Source organism: Homo sapiens, chromosome 21 (genome assembly GCF_000001405.40).
Source record: "Homo sapiens chromosome 21, GRCh38.p14 Primary Assembly".
NCBI classification, from domain to species: domain Eukaryota; kingdom Metazoa; phylum Chordata; class Mammalia; order Primates; family Hominidae; genus Homo; species Homo sapiens.
This window is the reverse complement of record NC_000021.9, coordinates 42,569,196-42,584,118: the sequence shown is the minus strand read 5'-3', so window position 1 is coordinate 42,584,118 and position 14,923 is coordinate 42,569,196. Positions and strand designations below refer to the sequence as shown.

Here is a 14,923-nt window from a genome sequence, read left to right as displayed (position 1 = left end):
GGGAAGTGATGACAGTTAACCCAAACTCAGTGAAGGGCACCACTGGGTTCCAAATGAACCATCGCTCCTCCCGACTCAGGCCCCTGGGGTCTCTCAGCCAGGCTTTTGGTTCCCGCTTCCATCCTGGATGAGGTGTCATTCTGCGGGCCACAGGGCACATGGCCAGGGCAGTCACCCAGCACCTGCGCCCGAGGGTCGCGTGGGTTGAGTGCTCCACCGTGGCTGTGTGGAGATTCTGAGAAGTGCTCTCTTTGCATCTGTGGTTTGTAAGGGAAGTCCAGGGGACAATGGAGCCGGCACTGAGGGACTGGAACTTTGGCTCTTACGTGATTCTGACTCCACCACCTCCCCAGGAGGGGCCTAGGTTGTGCTCCCACCTCAGCCCCCCCCCCACCCTGGGAAGTGACCTGCCTACTGCCCGTGGTCTCTGGTGGGCCTGGCAGCTGCCCCTGCCTTGGCAGCCAGTGCTACAGCCTCTTCTACTGCCCTCCAGGGACCTGGGGTGTCCTGTGCAGAGACTGTGGGTCAATGCGGAGCCTTGGGAATGGAGGTGACCTGGCGCATCGGAGCCCTGTGGGGGACAGCCTGGGTGCCTTGTGGGCACAGCCTGCAAGGGACACAGTGCCCTCACACCTGCTTCTCACCTGGCCCAGCTGTGCTCTGCTGAGTCAAGACTGGAGTGGTCCTGTGGCCATTTAGCAGAGTGGTTTTTATGTCTGTTGAATTGAATAATAATAAATCAGGGCTCATTTTTTTTCAGCTCGTAGTTTATCAAGCAATTTCGTTTTCTTGGATTTTACAAGCTGGCGATGGGAGAGCTGGCTCTGCTCTGAGACGCACAGTATAGCAGCCACCAGGCCCTGTATTCGCGGCAGCTCTTGGACTCTGAGGTGCATTCACTGAGGTGAGCTTCCAGGAGTAGTTTTTCCTACCTACAGACAGGCTGGAGAGCTGGAGTCCCACCTTGAGCTCTTTTGTTGGCCCTGTCACCAGCTTGTGTTTCCATGATCCGGCATTTTTTTGTCAACATGAATAGGAGAGTCTTAGTGATGTGCACTAAGCGCACACGTGCGTGACAGGCAGAGCCACGCTTCCACAGGACGGCAAGCGCAGACGTGCGTGACAGGCAGAGCCACGCTTCCACAGGACGGCAAGCGCAGACGTGCGTGACAGGCAGAGCCACGCTTCCACAGGACGGCAAGTGTGTGTGTCTCAGAGCTGGCTGTTTGCAGATGGAAAATACCTCAGCTATGCTCAAATGAAGATGTATTTTTATATTGAAATCATGTACTTTTTTCCTTAAAAGTCATAATGAAATCTTCCATCCATGAATCAAGGTGAATTTCCGCTAAATTGCTTTAAAAAAATAGCTGTGTGTATACTCTTCATTTTAAAAAAAGGATCGACTCTCCATTTCCAAAAGTTCTCAGGGTTTAGCTCAGAGGGTTCAGAAATGGGAAGTTGCTCTTCCTTTGTGAGTTGTGGGAGATTTTCTTCTAGTACTTTAGTTCATTGAGTTGGGGAAATAGCGATCGCCACCTCAAAGCTGCTGTGCTGAATGCTGGCTGGTGGCTATGGGGTGAGGAAGGTCCGCTCCGGCCCACCAGCCCTGGGCCTCTGACTAGATGAGGCCTCAGAGGGGACAGTTCTGGAGAGGCAGGGGGCAGTGAATGCAAAGAATTTTGTTTATGGAAAAAGCCCTCTGTGCATCCTGTAATGATACTGTGCCATCTGCGTCATCCCTCGCTTGTTCACCCCATGGATACGAGTGCTGCACACCCAGAGGGAAGAGGTGCCCTGTGGTGAGCACGGGGCTGGTGCCCGTCCTCAGGGATGGCAGCCGGCAGGGGCTCAGGGCAGCCCAGGCCACTGTGACACCAGCGGGAGAGGGCTGGACTGGTGCCTGGAGCCAGGTCAGGGAGAGAGGGAAAGTGGGAGGCTCCCAGGAGCGGGAAGCATTGGGTGGAGGACCGGGAAAGGCCAGCACAAGCTGAGTGCGCTGCGTGTGTGGGAAACACACTCCATCCATTTGGTGTTTAGGGAAGTTCTTTTTTAGCAGAAATCTTTTAAATGTATAAATAACTTGCCATTAAAAAGAGAGTGAGCCAATCTAGTGGGGCAGCTGGCACACAGAAGCCGCCACAGCCAGGTCTGTTCCTCCTGTGGGCTTCTCCGCAGAGCTCAAGCAGGAGGCCCCTGAGAACTGCGGGACACACAGTGTGTTGTTTCTGACCTTTGCCCTGCTGCTGTGAGAGGTCCCCAAGTGAACTTCCACAGCACTCCATCCAGAGAAAGCCCGCACCATGCACATCTGGACGGTCAGCATTCTGAGGACGTTTGAAAGCCTGGACCCCACCATGTAGTTCCCAAGGTCAGCACCTTTCCCCACCACCACGGGGTGTGACACCTCCTCGTCAAGGACAAATCTTAGGATATTCTTTAAACTGCGTGATTTATAAAATACCCAGATGGCTGTTTACTTCAGCTTGGCCTTCTGTGCAAACAAGGGACCGAGAGGTAGGCCCCTTTTCTGCTGGAAATGGTCTTTTCCCAGTATGTGTCCAAACCCGAGAAACCTCAATGTGTCCAAGCCTGAGAAAACCCAAAACACACAACACGATTTGGAAGTTCCCTTTTTTAGCGTAATGGAAATGTAAGCAGAAATCATCAACATTCTCTGAGTGTTCTGAGATTTTTTAAACAAAAACATTTTATTTCAAAGGGCAGATAAGTATTTTGCTAGACACAACTGAAAAAAACAGCCAGAGAACAATTGGAGTTTGTCTTAATAAATAACAAAATGCCATTTATGTCTCTTAAACTTCATATGACACAATACACATCTTAAATAAATAACCCAGTCTGTTGCTATGTATTAAAAACAGTCCCAGGTGTGGTGTGTGTTGTGGAGCGAAGCCGGTTGCTGGGCTTGGACCCGCCAATCCCAGTGCCGGTGGGGAGACCGCTTCCCAAACCTCTGCTGTGCCCCTGTGCCTGAGCTGAACAGCAGTGCCATGGCCCCGGAGGGCAGCAGGAAGGCCAGGGGCTGGGATGACGGTGACTTTGGGGCGCTCTGTGGCTGGCAAGCCTGGGTGCCTCCAACCGGAGGTGCTTCCTGCCTCCTCACCCTTGGCTTCTCGACAATTAGTTTTTAGGTCAGTCCGAAACATCATGGGTGCTGGAAAAGCCTCTGGGGCGATGTGGTGGGTCTGAGCTCCGTCTTGGTTTCCAACCTGGTTGTCGGCCTTCTTGATGTTGTGTGGCGCTGGCTCTCTGCTTCTCTGCTGGCCGGCACTGTCTGGTGGGCTCTGGTGTCCTGTTTTTCCATGTGGCACATACAGGTTCTCTGAAGCCACAGCCAGCGCAGTACTCGCTCACTTTGATGTTCTGTGGCTGGAATGCCTGAGAGGGTCGGGGCTACCTGTGCACCCCCCCCACCCTCCCGGCCTTGTTGTCACGCGTGCATTTGGGTGGCTGCATGGGCACACGCCTGTGAGGCCAGGGCCGGCCGGGTCTTCGGTTCTCTGGCTTGGCTCAGGCAGCAGTTCCTGCAGACTTTTCTCACTGCTGTTCAGCAATATGTCTCCTTTAAAATAGCACCAGGGGTTCTCAGGTTGGCTTCTGTGTCTTTTCCAGGTGCGTGTGCAAAAGGCAAAGGGAGGTCACTCTTTCCATGCAGGGCCCTTTGTCTGAACTGTCCTTGAAAGGCAGTTGTGAAGGGTGGGCCCAGACCCCCTCCACGGGACTGGGGTGGGGTGTCACTGTTCCTTAAATCTGAAAGAAAGGTTGAAAGAAGAGCTGCTCTAACAGCCAGCAGTGGCTCAGCAAGAGATGCTGAACTTCACACACCATGTGCAAATCCTATGGGGAGCCAGCTGCCCTCCCGGCCCAGCAGGGATTCCTCTCCTGCAGGGGTGCTGGATGCTGGATAAACCCTTGCACCTTTCCCGCAGCCTTCTGGGGGCCAGGAAGAAGTGAGAAGGGAGCGAGGGAGGACCAAGGGGGGAGGGAAAAGAGGAGGGAGGGAGAAGGGGGCGAGCAGGAAGGCAAGGAGAGCTCGGGGGGCTGCAGCTCCAACAGAATGCCAAAGACGGCAATTCCCTCACATTTTCCACTCAGGGTTTGAGGAGAGATTACCACTAACCCATCCAGAGGTATTTATTAGAAAAGAAAAAGTGAGAGTGAAGGTGGCGTGCCGTGAAAAGATAAGCCACGCGTTTTCTTTCTTTCAGGAAAGCCAGGTGCAGAAGGCAGATAGGACAGAAGGCACTTTGGAGCCGGCTTTCACGCACGGAGACAGGGCCCGAGTGGGACTTACGGAACTTGGTCCCCCGTAGCTGACCCTGGGCAGCTCAGCTCCTTGTGTATGAGGCGGATCAGGAACTGCACCAAAACAAAGGTGAGCCCACCTGTTACTGGAGCAGGCACAGGGCGGCCCGCGCCGTGGGCACCATGAGGACCTGGCCCGCAAGGCCTGGGCGGGTGGCTCTCTCCCCACAGCACCTTCCCTGGGGTGGCCTCCCTGCAAGAGCAGCGGGGCTTGCATGCTCAGCCGGAGGCCTGGGCTCCTGTGGGCAGGGCTGTCTGATGAGGGCAGGGCTGTCTGATGAAGGCCCACGAAGAACCAGGAGCTGCCCTGAAAACAAGGCTTTTGGGAGAGATGCAGCCTGAACTACTTCTGGGTTCAAGTCACGTTTAGACTAAAATTAATCCAATCATGAAATGTCCACAGTGGGAAAAAGGAAATAAAGACAAGAGGACCATAATGCGGGTGGCCCAGTGGGTGGACCTGCGAGCTTCTCAGGTGACTCTAAAGCCAGGTGAGCACTTCCTCTGGCGCCAGCCCTGGGGTCTGAAGAGGCTGTCACAGGACAGCCGCACCCCACTGGGAGCCCCTTGGAGGCCAGGCCTGGCCGGGGCCCAGGGCTTTCCACCAACATCACTGCCTCAGCCTTGGCTCCTCGCCGGACCCAGAGCTTTAACTCCGTGCCCTTCACATGTTTGAGGGCTCAACGCCAGCCTACAAATCCAGACAAATGATTGTGCTACCTCCAATTTAACTAGTGCATTTTCCAGTGTGGATCCAGTCTCTCCCCAAGTGGGACATCAGCCCACAGGAGGGCTCTCCCTGGACGTGGCCCCTCGTTCTTAGAGGGCAGCAGATGCCCTCAGACCCAGGGTGGATCACTGGTCCAGGGGAGGCAGGGAAGGGGTGCTGGAGGGTCTCGAGGGGCTACTTAAAAACCAAACACATGGCCCCACCACCAAGCCTCAGGCCAGAGCTCTAGAAGGCAGAAACTCTTCTATTTTCTTAGGTGCTTGTGGTTCAAGTAGGAGCTTAGGAGTCCCTTGTATGAGGTGAGTTCAAGCTGGAGAGAACAGGGGCCCCTCCTACAGATAAGATGCATCCAGCTGCTCTGCTTGGTGCATGAAAGGTGTTTGCGACAATTAGGTGGTAAAGGTCGTGGGAACACGGCAGGTACGAACAATAGTGCTGGTGACAATAGCAAGATTTTTGTTAAATAAATCCATCTGTGTGAATCTGAACCTCTAGCTCCAACTACCGGCACAGGCTTATTGTGTTTGAGCTGGTACCTTACCCACATCTACATCCTGCCAAGTGTGATGTATGAAAAGTGCTAGCCCGAAGAGGCCTATGATTATGAAAAGCTGATCATTAAGAGAGAAAAAGATGAAGAATATAGTAGCAAGTGTTATCTGTGGGTACGGGATGAACTGTAAATGGTGACAGTTCTGAAGAACAGAGATCCAATTTCAAAACATGCCCACGTGTTTGGCTCACGCATGCAAGAATGACCAACAAGGAGGGGCCCTACCAACTCCAGGAGCCCAGGCGACACGCACTGGAGACCTGAGGCCTTCGGTCGTGCGCCAGGCAGTCCTGCAGGCCCTGGAGCTGGCCATCAGTGTGTGTTGTGAGGCAGGAAGCATGGTGCCCTCTGGCCCCCCAGGACACCTGCTCAGATCATGGAGGTTCTCAGCTCCAGACTCGGGAGGAAACACTTGTCTATTTTGGTGAAAAGATACCAAAAAGCATGTTGATCAGTGAAGAGAAAAAGGTATGTCTAGTTCTTAGGTTTGAAAAGCCCAACTCAAGCTCACGGACCTGCTGCACATCCTGGTATAGTTCCTTCTCCACTGCGACAAGCCCCCGTCTCCCAAGTGCTTCAGCTTTAGGTCTCTTTCTTCCAACGCAGCAAATCCGGCTTCCTCTGGTTATTATTTACCTGTCGTGTAGTTTCCCATTCTTTTACTTTTGTCTTTTCGGAATTCCAGTGTAGCAGGTGTGTTTCTTGTAAATAACCAGTGCCTGTATTTTTAAAAGCAACCTGACAATCTCTGCTCCTAACTGATGAGTTTAAGTCCATTTATTGTCACTGTGTTGCTGGCATGCTGGGATCATTTTCATCCATGTTGCTCTGTATTTCTGTATTTACCCTGTTTTTTTCTATGCTTCCCCTGACCCTAGGTTCTCTTAGATTAAGTCTTCATTTCCCTGTATTGCCTTGAAGGTTACACATTCTATTGCTATTGGCTTGACAACATAAGAACTGCAGTGTACTGGAACTCTCATTGTCCCACTTGTACCTTACATTTTCAGTATTTCAGTTCTTTTTTATATTGCCCAAATTAGTCATTATTGCTGTTGTTTTAAACTGAGAGTCAGAAAGCTTTTTCTGTAAAGGTCTAGATAGTAAATATTTCAGGCTTTGCAGCCATATGGTTTCTGTTGCACATTCTTTTGTTGATTTTTTAAAGACATATTTAAAAATATAAACCATTCCCAGCTGGAGGATCACACAAAAATAGGCCACAGTTAGCTGGCCCCTATTTTATATGGTCAATACTCCTTTAGATTCATCCTTAGGAATATCACTTTTTTTTTGCTTGCATTTCTCCTTGCATCTCAGACTTTCCTTCTGGATCTATCTTCCTTCTCTAAATACATTGTTTAGCAATTTTTGCTGGGAGCATCTTTGGTTAAAAATGTTTTCACTTCACCCTTACTCTTGTGTGCAAGTTTATCTAGGTACAGAATTCTAAGTCATTTGATTCCTGAATCTAAGAATGTTTGTCTTTCATGTATCTGGAAAATTCTCAGCTATTTTGTCTTAAAATATTGCTTCAAATCCAGTCTATCATCTTCCTCTGGAATTACTTTCAGATAACTTTAGGCCATCTCATTTGGTCCTCCATTTTATATTTAATTTCTCTCTAATATTTTCCATCTCTCTTTTTGTGCTGAATTCTGGATAATTTCTTCATATCTATATTTCACTTCAGTAATCTTCTCTTCAGCGGTATCTAATTTGCTTTTCTAACCCATCCATTGAGTCTTTTTCCAGGCTAAAGATCACATTTTTCATTTCTATAACTCCTGTTTGGTTGTTTTTGAAGCCTGCTCTGTCTTTTCAATAGTGTCTTGTTCTTTTTTTCATGAGGTCAGTTCCTTTTTCTTATGTCATTAGTAACATTGCATATATTTATTTTTAGTTTACATAACTCTTTTATCTGCAGTTTTGGGGGAGTCCAATTCCACCATTTTTTATGTCTGTTACTGTCATTCAATGTGGATTGCTTCCTTATGTTTCATTATTTTGGATTGTGAGCTCATCTTTTGTAGGGTGTTAGCTACAGAAATCCTATGCTGCAGGGTTGAGATTTGTCCCTATTTGCTTCTGTATTACTGCCTAAGGACCAACTTTGCTCATTTAAAATATATTTATATAAGCTCAAAGATTAAAGCTGACTGTGGGGAGGTCTATGGCTAAAAATTTTCAAGGGAGATTTCTTCCCCCTAATCTGGCTAAGATGGGCAGATTCCCATTGTCTTCCTGTGCCAGTGTGCAGATATCATCTAGTATACTCTTTCACTGCAAGCATGGCTCTTCGAGGGTCCTGGCTCTATGACGAAGTCTCCAGTTCCAAATCTTCATCTTGTGCCAGCCTAACGCCTTGTCTCTTACCCAGTGTGGGCACAACCACCCCAACCCGTTGATTCCTGAGCTTGTGTATTTATATTGCCTTTACAATTCTGGCTCCTGGGGAGTTCCTTTACTTTCTTATGAGTTTGGCTAAGCATCAAAACAATTTTCAATATATATTACCAGATAGTTCTAAAGAAGATATTTCAGATTCTCTGAACAGTTGTAATGACAGGAATTTTACTGCTACTTAGTGGAAATCCATCTGGAGGCTTCATTAGAACATTCAGGCATTAAAAGAACCCACAGATGATCCAAAGAACAGCCATTTAAACCTAGTAAGTTCATAGGTTGAGAGTCGGTATTTGATTTTGTATGTGGTGGGGAAGTTGAGTTTTAGAATTTCCTGGAATTAAAATATAAGACTTTCATTTAATTGAGTGAGTTGATATTTCTGAAATTCTCAACTCATTTTTATTGGGATCAGCCTAAGGTTTTGTCTGGTGAAGTGAGAGGAGAGGCATGGCTGTGGGTCTGGGGACTTTGTGGCCAGGTGACTTGTAAAGATGTGTATGCACCCCTCACAGCTGCACATCTATGTGACTGTGACATCATCACTGGTCTTCCTTACCCAGGGGAAAACCTCAAACTTTCTCAACACAGGAGGGCACAGAAGCAGGAGCCCAGAGAAAAGGGGGCAGAAGCCAGAAGGCGACTCAGTGTCTGCACTGGCAACCTCTTTGCTCCTTTATTCTCTCCCATCCCTTCAGGTGAAAGAAGTTGGGGCCGCTCCCGCCGTCTGACAGCATGGCTGCAGGAGGGACACCAGGACACTGATGACCACTGGGAGGCCAGGCTCTGTGTATCATCTGCTTTAATTCCCACAACAATCTTGTCACTGGGTGCCATTATCATGCCCATTTTAAAGCTGTGGAAACTGTGGAGCAGAGGTTACGAAACCTGCCCAAGTCACACACATGACAGGTGACAGGCAGGATCTAGAGCCACGGAGCTCCACGCTCCTGGCCTTTGTGCTATCCCGCCCAAGGCTGCAGAGCAAGACTGTCCTGCTTCTGTTTCTGACTTTTTCTAATCAGAGAGAGAAGGAGCTTTAGACCACGCATATTTAGAAAAGATGGGAAGACCCAAACCTCTCTGATAACTCAGGAATGCATGGGAGAAAGTTCCACCAGTGTTTGGACACAACCACAGAGATCTGCATTCAAGGTGGATTGGACTAAAAATAGGCCGACTTACCAGTAAGGCACAGGCATCTGCAAACATCAGCATGTAAAACACATTGCTCCAGCCGGACGGGGAGAGGAGCCCAGCCAGCAGGGGGCCCAGGGCTGCTCCTGAAATCAGGCAAATGGACACACATGGTGCTGTTTAGAGAAAATCCCAGCACATAACTAGCAGCCACAGAGAATGGGGCTCAACACCTCACTCACAATGAAAGGAACACATATGGAACTACACTACCTCATCCTGGCCTATCAGATTGGGAGCGGGTACAAGGCCTAGTATAGGTTGAGCCTTCCAAATCTGAAAACCTGAAATCCAAAATCTCCAGAATTTGTAACTTTTTGAGTGCTGACACTCAAAGGAAATGCTCACTGGGGCATTTCAGAATTGGGATTTGAGATGCTCAACCAGTGTAATGCAAATATCCCACAATCTGAAAAAATAAAAAGACATAACCACTTCTGGTCCCAAGTACTTCAGATAAGGATACTCCACCTGTACGCCTCCGTACTGGGAAGGCAGAGCTGGCACAGCCTTTTCCCAGAACCATCCTAAAAATGTGTGTTGACATTGCAATGTTCATTCTTTTCATCCAACACTCCCATTATTTTCTTGAGTACACGTAAGGAAATCTGAATTCAATGCACAATCTTAGATATTCTTATGCTATAAAAATGTAACTGGGTAAAATTTGAATAAGAATTGTAGATACTAATATTCTTTCAATGCTCACTTTCTGATTCTGATCATGCACTGTGGTCTGTCATGGAACTCCTTGTTTTTAGGAAGTACATGCTGAATAGTTACGAGGAAAGGGGCAGCATGTGTGCATCTTACTCTTAAGTGGTTCAGAAAAATTATGCATGTGTGTGTGCATATATGTGTGTGTGCATGTGTGTGTGTAAAAACACGGGTGCATGATGAACCACATGTACTAAAATGTCTGAATTCTTTGTACTATTTCTGCAACTTTCTCAAAGTCTGAAATTATGTCAAGATGTGTTTTTAAATGATGAAAACAAATAACGTATCCCCCTAAATGCCCAAGGACTGCTGTTTAAGAATGTGTTTTGTAGCATCTGGTGCATTTTACCAAGAGGGACTGAAATGAATTCTGATACACATGTAGGATGGCCTGTTTTGGTAGATGCATGGGAAAAAGCATGAAGAATTTCCACCAACCTATGAACTGACATATTCAACTCTGAGAGGTAAGATAACCAGGGTCTTTCATGCCCTAGGCACTTGTTTTTTTCAAGTGTTCACAAAGTGCACTTACTATTTTATAATCCCAGGAGCAATTGTATGTTTTTTTTTTTAATTCTCAGAACTTCCAGGTAAACATGGTCGGCTACTCATGTGTTATCTCCACACCCCCAAGCAACATGAACTGCGCCATCACTGACTTCTAAAGATGATAAATCCTCCCACCGAAGGGCACGTAGTTTTGGAAGATGGACACAGAAGGGCTGACAGCTAACACAGCCTCCAGTGTTCCCTGCTCCACTGAGCATCCTCAGAGGGAGACAGCACAGGGACACCTGGAGCAGAGCGAGGCCCAGCGGAGCCCAAGAGACAGGGGAGGGGAAGGCAAGGAAGGAGGAACGCAGTGGGAACGGAAGGGGGTCAGCAAGAGAAAAAAGGTGCATGGGTTGAGTCTTTTATCACAAACTGTTAGCTACATTCCCTCTGCCGCACCTCGGATCCCAGGTCTCTTTTCTCATCCTCACTGATAAAGAGACTCCTCCTGATGCCCCCGTGCAGGACAGCGCAGCTTAACCCGTGGGGACACTAAGCCCAGTGCAGGACAGGGATGCTCACCTAACAGGCGACAGGGGATCTGGGGAAAGACACCAGCTTCCACCAAGCTTCCATGCCATGGCAAGGATGTTGGCAGCTGGACCCAGGCTCCCCTGGGCACTGAAGGAGTCTCCTCCTGCAGGTTCCGCAGGGTCCCACTGCCTGGAGACCAGCAGCCAGCACACTGTCCCCACAGAGAGACTTCAAACCACTATGCAGGGCCCCTTCTTCCATGGGAAGTGATGAAGGGGCAACCTAGGTCTGCCCTGTGTCTGGGGAACACCCCAACGTGAAAGCAAGCAAGCTGGCAGGAGGGAGCCTGGAGGAGAAGAACATTCCCAGAGCTCACAGCACCCACAGAGAGCCAACAGAAGACTAAGTTGAACCTCCCCCCAGAGAGCCAACAGAAGACTAAGCTGAACCTCAGGACACACTCTTTTTTTTTTTTTTGTGTGTGTGTGGCTGAAAACCTGTTATCAATTTCACATGATTCAGTCTAACATGAAATAAAACAGGATGCACTGAAAGGGCAGAGAAACATCAGTAAACATTGAAAATATGGCAGGAAAAGTAAAATGGTCGATACAAAGTTGGAAAATACAGTCAAGAATCTCCCTGAGAAAGTGTAAGAAAGAACAGGGAGACAGGCAGGAAGGGAAAGAAAGAAAGGAAAGTTGAAGGATTAATCCAGAAAAGCCTACATCTGACTAATACATTTTCCAGAAAGAAAAAACAAATCAGAAAATGGTAGGAAAACTTATCAAACGAACAGGGGCCCAATTCCCCTAAAGTGAAGGGCAGGTGTTTCCAGACTGAAGGTGCCACCAGGTGCCCCAGGACGGTGGATGAAGAAAGGCTCCCGGGGTAAGGAAGGGAACCTGGAGATCTAAGAGAAAAAAGAGAAGGTCAGAAAGCAAGGGCTGGGGTCAGAATGTCTGTGAACGTGTCAGTGACAGCAATGGAGGCTGGAAGACGGGGGTTCTGAAGAGAAGGTGTTTCCACGTCCACATTGCCTCAGGCGAGAGCAGAATCCAGCCATCACGCACTTGTAAGCTTGCAGAACCCACCTCCCCTAACTCAGGAAGCTGCTAGGAGCCAGTTTCCACCACAGGAGTGGTAAACAGGGGTCTAGACTGCTAGGGCTGTGTCGCAGGCAAGAGAGGAGGGGGACTCCCAGCACCGTGGTGACAGGTGCTCTGGGGCCAAGCCGCGCAGTGGGCGGAGTGAGGCTGATGGCGTGAAAGGGGTGGGGCAGGGCAGGATGGCGACCACGGTGCAGGGAAGGAAGAACTTTGTCGGAAATGTGAAAAAGAGGAAAAGAGATGTTTACTTACCCGGGAAAAAACAAGATGTATCTATTGAGGGTGCATAATTAAAGTTTGTTTCTTGGCTGGAAAGTGAAGGGCAGAAGCATGGCTGGTATAACTGAGGAGGAGGAGGGGTGGGCAATGTCGGGGTGGAAGGGAGCCAGGTCCCCTCTTCCGTAAGAGGAGCACAGCTGATGACGTTCAGATGATGAACCAAGAAACATGGAAATACGTAGGTAAGCAGAGAGAGGCAGCTGAAATTGGCTGCCTCTAGAAAGAGAGGGCTGGGGAGGGGGACGGAACGCCGCTGTACAACATAATAAGCTTGTAGGACTGTCTAGCTTCTAAGGTACATTATGTTTTACTTTAATAAATAAAAATTAACTTGAAGAAAAATGCAGTGCCCTATTTAATTGCTCTGCATGAAATGTACAGAAACGGCAACCTCTGCGATTCTAAGCACTGTGAACGCCCCAGGCGCACACCGTGTCAACAAACCGTGTGGCACTTGGGAGAAGGCAGGGGTGATTTACGATTAGTCATGTTTCGCCTCCACCCGAGTCACTGCCAAGGAGTGGACAGTGACACTGAATAAGCATGCGGGCACCTCCTTCGGGAAGGGACTTGGCTGACATGGTGGCCTTCCCACTGGAGCCTGTACTTTGTCTTGCTGGGCAGCACTCACTCATGGAAGGAACAATGACCAAGGCGTGGTGGTGGGGGTGGGTAGGCCTGAGCGCCGTTTCCATGGTGACCATTCACTGAGCAGGCAGCAGGCACTGATGGGCAGTGGAGCCTGGAGGAGTCAGGTCCTGGTCCTGCCTCTGGTGTAACGCAGCAGCCATCAAGGTGGGCGCGGCAGCTCCGCGGACAGTCAGGACTTGGTGCAGGTTAACAGAAGGCCAGAGGGGGTCCGGTGTGTGTGCCACCTTCCTTGTGAGGGGCCAAAGGCATTCAGAACTGTGCCTCCCTCCACCTGCTTGGGGGCAGTGGTGGGCAGTGGCCTCTGTTCACAGACGCAGGGTCTCCACCCTTAGCCACAGACTTCTGCTTCCCTCTCATTTTGAGAATATGAAGAAAAATGTGTTTTTTCACCTAGTTCATGATTTCCTTCTCTTTTTTTATGCTGATCCTCTGCTTTTAAAACAGCAATCGGGGTTGCCAGTAGAGCGCCAAGTTAGCTTTAAGAACAGGGTTTCACAGCAGAGTCAGACCGAATTGCAGACTGCAGTCCACTGAGGCACAAGGCCAAGAGAAGGCCACGCAGTCACAACGTCAACCAGAACTGAGCTCAGCCCCGCAGTCCCCCGACTTCCTACTGAGATGCCCAAGACAGAAGATCAGAGGGGTGACTACTGCCGCCACCCAATACACTCAAAGCCCCTCTGGATCCAGTGAAAGGAAGGAACCAACATGAAGGGCAGAGACGAGGCTGGTCTGGTCTCACTTTGGTGAACAGCAAAAGCCAAAGTGTGGCTTTCTGAGCAACAGCCACCCTGCCCACCACTTCTCAGAACCAGGCCGTGTGTCGCATGACAACGGCCACCCTGCCTGCCGCTTCTCAGAACCAGGCCGTGTGTCACATGACATGGCAACGGCCACCCTGCCTGCCGCTTCTCAGAACCAGGCCATGTGTCACATGGCAATGGCCACCCTGCCCGCCGCTTCTCAGAACCAGGCCGTGTGTCACATGGCAACAGCCACCCTGCCCACCACTTCTCAGAACCAGGCCGTGTGTCGCATGACATGGCAACGGCCACCCTGCCCGCCGCTTCTCAGAATCAGGCCGTGTGTCACATGGCAACGGCCACCCTGCCCGCCGCTTCTCAGAACAAGGCCAGAACAAGGAAACGCAGAACAAGGAAACGCAGCAGCAGCAGCGTGGAGCTGGGGTTCCCGCCACCCAGGGCTGGGCGGGGGCGCCTGGGGCCTGTCCGGCCTGGCTCCTCACTGTGCAGTCAGCCGCCTGGGCCCCGGCTGCGATTCTAACTGTCTGGGAGCAGCTCATTCAGTTCACTGGGATACAGCAAAGAATCAGGCAAATCCCGTCCTCCTGGAGCTTCCGTTCCAGTGGCAGGAGACAGAGGAGACAAAACAGAGGAGTGCACCGAATCCCACTGCGGATGGGGAGAGCGCTCCAGAGAACAGACCCGGGAGAGGGGCCTGGAGGCCGAGTCGGAAGGGTTCACGCGTTCTCAGCAGGGTGGTCCCAGGAAGTCTTGCTGAGAGGATGATATCTGGGCAAAGACTCAAGGCACGAGGGAGTGCGGCACGAGGGAGTGCGGCACGAGGGAGTGCGGCACGAGGGAGTGCGGCACGAGGGAGTGCGGCACGAGGTCACCTGTGGGGACCTTCCCAGGCACGGGGTGTGACCAGAGCAAAGAGCCCGCACGGGGGCCAGCCTGGCCTTCGGAGGAGCAGCAGGGAGGCCATGTGGCGGGAGGGCTTTGCATTCTGCATCACTGAGACAGCAGTGGGCACCCAGAAACGTGCTGTGATGTTTCCAGCCTGCTGGCACCAAGGCCAGGGGCAGCCAAGAACAACATCAGCTCCCTGCACGAGCCAGTGGGAAGGCTCCAGCACCAGGTTCTGGCTGACCTGGGTCTACCGAGCCACCTTCATCTA

General features: G+C 50.3%; 1 protein-coding gene and 1 long non-coding RNA gene across 20 annotated transcripts in view, besides 1 other annotated feature; one reads left to right on the top strand and one right to left on the bottom strand.

Annotated features, from left to right (window-relative positions):
• SLC37A1 (solute carrier family 37 member 1) overlaps window positions 2,693-14,923 on the bottom strand; it is an 81,805-nt gene continuing 69,574 nt past the window's right edge. For 7 of the 19 annotated variants that reach the window (NM_018964.4, NM_001320537.2, XM_017028379.2 and 4 more), the window contains 3 exons: window positions 9,204-9,301; window positions 4,319-4,383; window positions 2,693-3,774 (listed from right to left, as the gene is read on the bottom strand). In NM_018964.4, the coding sequence (NP_061837.3) occupies window positions 3,759-3,774; window positions 4,319-4,383; window positions 9,204-9,301 (179 nt within the window). In that variant the 3' untranslated portion in view covers window positions 2,693-3,758. Of the gene's footprint in view, window positions 3,775-4,318; window positions 4,649-8,162; window positions 8,353-9,203; window positions 9,302-14,923 lie in introns of those variants that run through there. The other 12 variants (XM_047440846.1, XM_047440848.1, XM_017028383.2 and 9 more) reach the window with 3 other exon arrangements.
• On the top strand, window positions 10,309-11,035 carry LOC101928212 (uncharacterized). Its single transcript, NR_171773.1, has 2 exons — window positions 10,309-10,402; window positions 10,520-11,035. It is a non-coding gene; the product is annotated as an uncharacterized LOC101928212 (long non-coding RNA).
• Window positions 11,654-12,397: an enhancer, noted in NCBI's record as "H3K4me1 hESC enhancer chr21:43991832-43992575 (GRCh37/hg19 assembly coordinates)". NCBI's record gives its function as "activates a minimal SCP1, AML or CMV promoter by ChIP-STARR-seq in primed H9 embryonic stem cells {active_cell/tissue: H9 hESC(primed)}" and the evidence as "EXISTENCE:reporter gene assay evidence [ECO:0000049][PMID:30033119]".